The following is a 2,539-nucleotide window of genomic DNA, read 5'->3' as shown; positions in this document are numbered from 1 at the left end:
GGAATGGATCAGGTGACCTGTAGTCCTTCCAGACTCATGACTCCATGGCCATGTGGCTGCAACAGGGTAAGTTCTGGGAGAATCGGAGGCTCCAGGCACTCTGTCTGCCATTTCCGAGCTTGGAGTTTGGCCAAGCATGTTGGGTGGGACCTGGGGGTCGTGATCCAAATGTGCGGAACCAGGAAGGCCTTCCAGCCCTTTTTGGGGGTTGCAGGGAAACAGGAGGGCCTGCTGAGGCCCTATACAAGAGGCCTTCCAATATAGGAGGCCCCCTAATGGGCAGACTGAGGCCTCTGAGGCCATGAGAAGCAGTTACATGGAGGAAACTTCCGGAAGGCAGAGCTTTCAGGCAGGGTCTGGAAGAGAAGGGAGGGAAGCCTGCAGGAGGAGGGAGGCAGAGGCTGGGGGCCAGAGGGCATTTCGGGACATCTCCACCATTATTTAACTTTCATTTTGCAACTCCACCATCACTCACTCTGAATGCAGATCATAAAAATTACAATTGATGTTTCAATTAGTTATAATTTACAGAGCGATTACATTTAATTTCTCTTTCATTGTATTTTAATGGCTTCAAATTTCTTGTTGATGAGATTCAGCCCCATGCTCTGAAGCTACAGGCCCAGGGTGGGGAGGGGGCTTGGTTCTTAAGGGGGCAGGTAGGCCTGCGGAGCTCTGGGGCCACTTGCTGCCTCGGTCTCCCCCAGCCAACCCAGCAGCCTCTCACCAGTCTTCCCAGCCTGGGGTGGGGAGTGGGAAGCAGGTAGAAGGAAAAGCTGCAGGGCCTGGGGATGGGGAGGCTTCGGGCCCTGCCCTGCAGCCATCTGTTTAAATGATGCTGCTAATGGAGAAGGAACATTTGCCTCTTCTTAACTAAGGATCCAGGGGAATGAGGTGGAGACAAGGGGAGGGGTGGGTGAGGAGCCCAGGAGAGAATCAATGATCTGTGCTCCTTTCTCAGGCTGGAGGAGCTGGAGACAGCCTGGGCTGGGAGCTCAGCAGCTCAGAGCCTAAAGTGCAGAGGAGAGAAACTGGGGAGAACAGAAGTTGAGCCTTTGCACAACTTCCATTTTCTTCGTGTGCCTAGCTCAGTGTGAGACAGCACAGGGGCACCCCTGGCGCTTAGTAAATATCAGACCAGTTGTTCACGTTTGTTCACGGGAACTCCTCAGGTGCAGTTCTTTGGAAGTGCAGTGTTCTTTGGAAGAAGTTCCTTGCAGACTCCTCTCCCTCCTCCTGCTCTTGGGTGACGATGGGCACTTGCTGCTGGCTGCAGAGGAAGGGCCCACCAAAGGCACTGACAGGGTGATGGTGGGCTTGGTAATTAGAGGTGGCCCAGGGCTGCGGGGACTTTCTGCAGCTTGGCAGCTGCTCACAACACAGTTGGCTTTGAAGAGGCTTCAAAGTGTCTCCCAGGAAGGTCCCCAAATCATCTGAAAAGCAGCCTGGAGTCTGTCAACTCTTGGGAGTGGGAGAAAGGCGAGAGCTTTGCTGGGCTTCGCAGGTGGGAGGCAGGAGTCAGTACGTCAAAGTCTCAGAAGCTGGGGACCTGGGGGGAGATTAGAGGTCCTGAATTAGGCTGTGGAACCACCTGCTGCCTGGAGAAGCTGCCTGGGATGGGCTCTGGATTTCTCTGTGGAGGGGGCTGGGAGGGCTGGAATGGGAGGAGTCAGGAGCTGGGCTCTCCATGTTTTGTGTCCACTCCTGGGCCTGGGGGCTGATGGGAGAGGCCTGATCTCAACACGTCTCTCCCCGCCCCGTGCCTCCGGGCAGCGGCCACCATCCTGCCCCAGCCCAGGTCTCCCGGCAGGGCCAGAGCAGGCAGCCCAGCAGTGAGGCTGCAGTGAGGAGCGGTGAGTGTGTGCACAGATTGCTTGCCAGCAAGGTGGAGGCCTTGCAAACTGTATCAAGGAAAGAAGAATGTTTCAAGGAATGAAATCTCAGCCTGGAAAAGAAGAAACTAGAAAGCTACTGCACTTTCTGACTTCCAAACAATTAAATTAGACAAGGAGCGCGAAGGCTCAGTGAGGGGTTGAACGTCCTCTTGACCCTGTCAAAATCTTAGGCCAAAAAAATGCCCGCTTGATCTCCAGCGCTTTGCCCGTTGCTCAGAAGCATTTAGCTTCCTGACGATTCCAGTGTTCTCAGCAGTGACTATCAAACACTCCAGCTTTTACTAATTAATCAGATTTTTTAACAAAGAAGAAAGAAAGAGGTCATGTATCAATTTTACTGAAGAATTCTTCCTTGTATTCAGAAATTCTTCTAACTATCTGAAGGGGACAGGCTGTTTAGCTTCTCTGGGCCTCAGTTTACTCATAAGTGGTTGATGGTGGTGGTGGTGGGGAGGTCCTAAAATCTCTGGACACTTTAGGGTCTGCCATGTCACACATGTGTGCAGGCTCTAGACAGACAGTTCAGGGAGGAGTGGTCCTGAGCCGAGTCTCTGCAGCAGAGTGGCGGCTGGTGGGCGTGGCTCTGGGAAGTGAGCTGACACCTCCACCAGGTGCTTTCCAGCCCCCTAAAACATCTGCCACCC

The 2,539-nt window shown here is 53.6% G+C and overlaps 1 annotated feature.

Annotated features, from left to right (window-relative positions):
- Window positions 1,703-2,279: an enhancer, noted in NCBI's record as "H3K4me1 hESC enhancer chr17:72176106-72176682 (GRCh37/hg19 assembly coordinates)". NCBI's record gives its function as "activates a minimal SCP1, AML or CMV promoter by ChIP-STARR-seq in primed H9 embryonic stem cells {active_cell/tissue: H9 hESC(primed)}" and the evidence as "EXISTENCE:reporter gene assay evidence [ECO:0000049][PMID:30033119]".

This window comes from Homo sapiens, chromosome 17 (genome assembly GCF_000001405.40).
Source record: "Homo sapiens chromosome 17, GRCh38.p14 Primary Assembly".
Classification (NCBI taxonomy): domain Eukaryota; kingdom Metazoa; phylum Chordata; class Mammalia; order Primates; family Hominidae; genus Homo; species Homo sapiens.
This window is presented reverse-complemented; position numbering and strand designations above follow the sequence as displayed.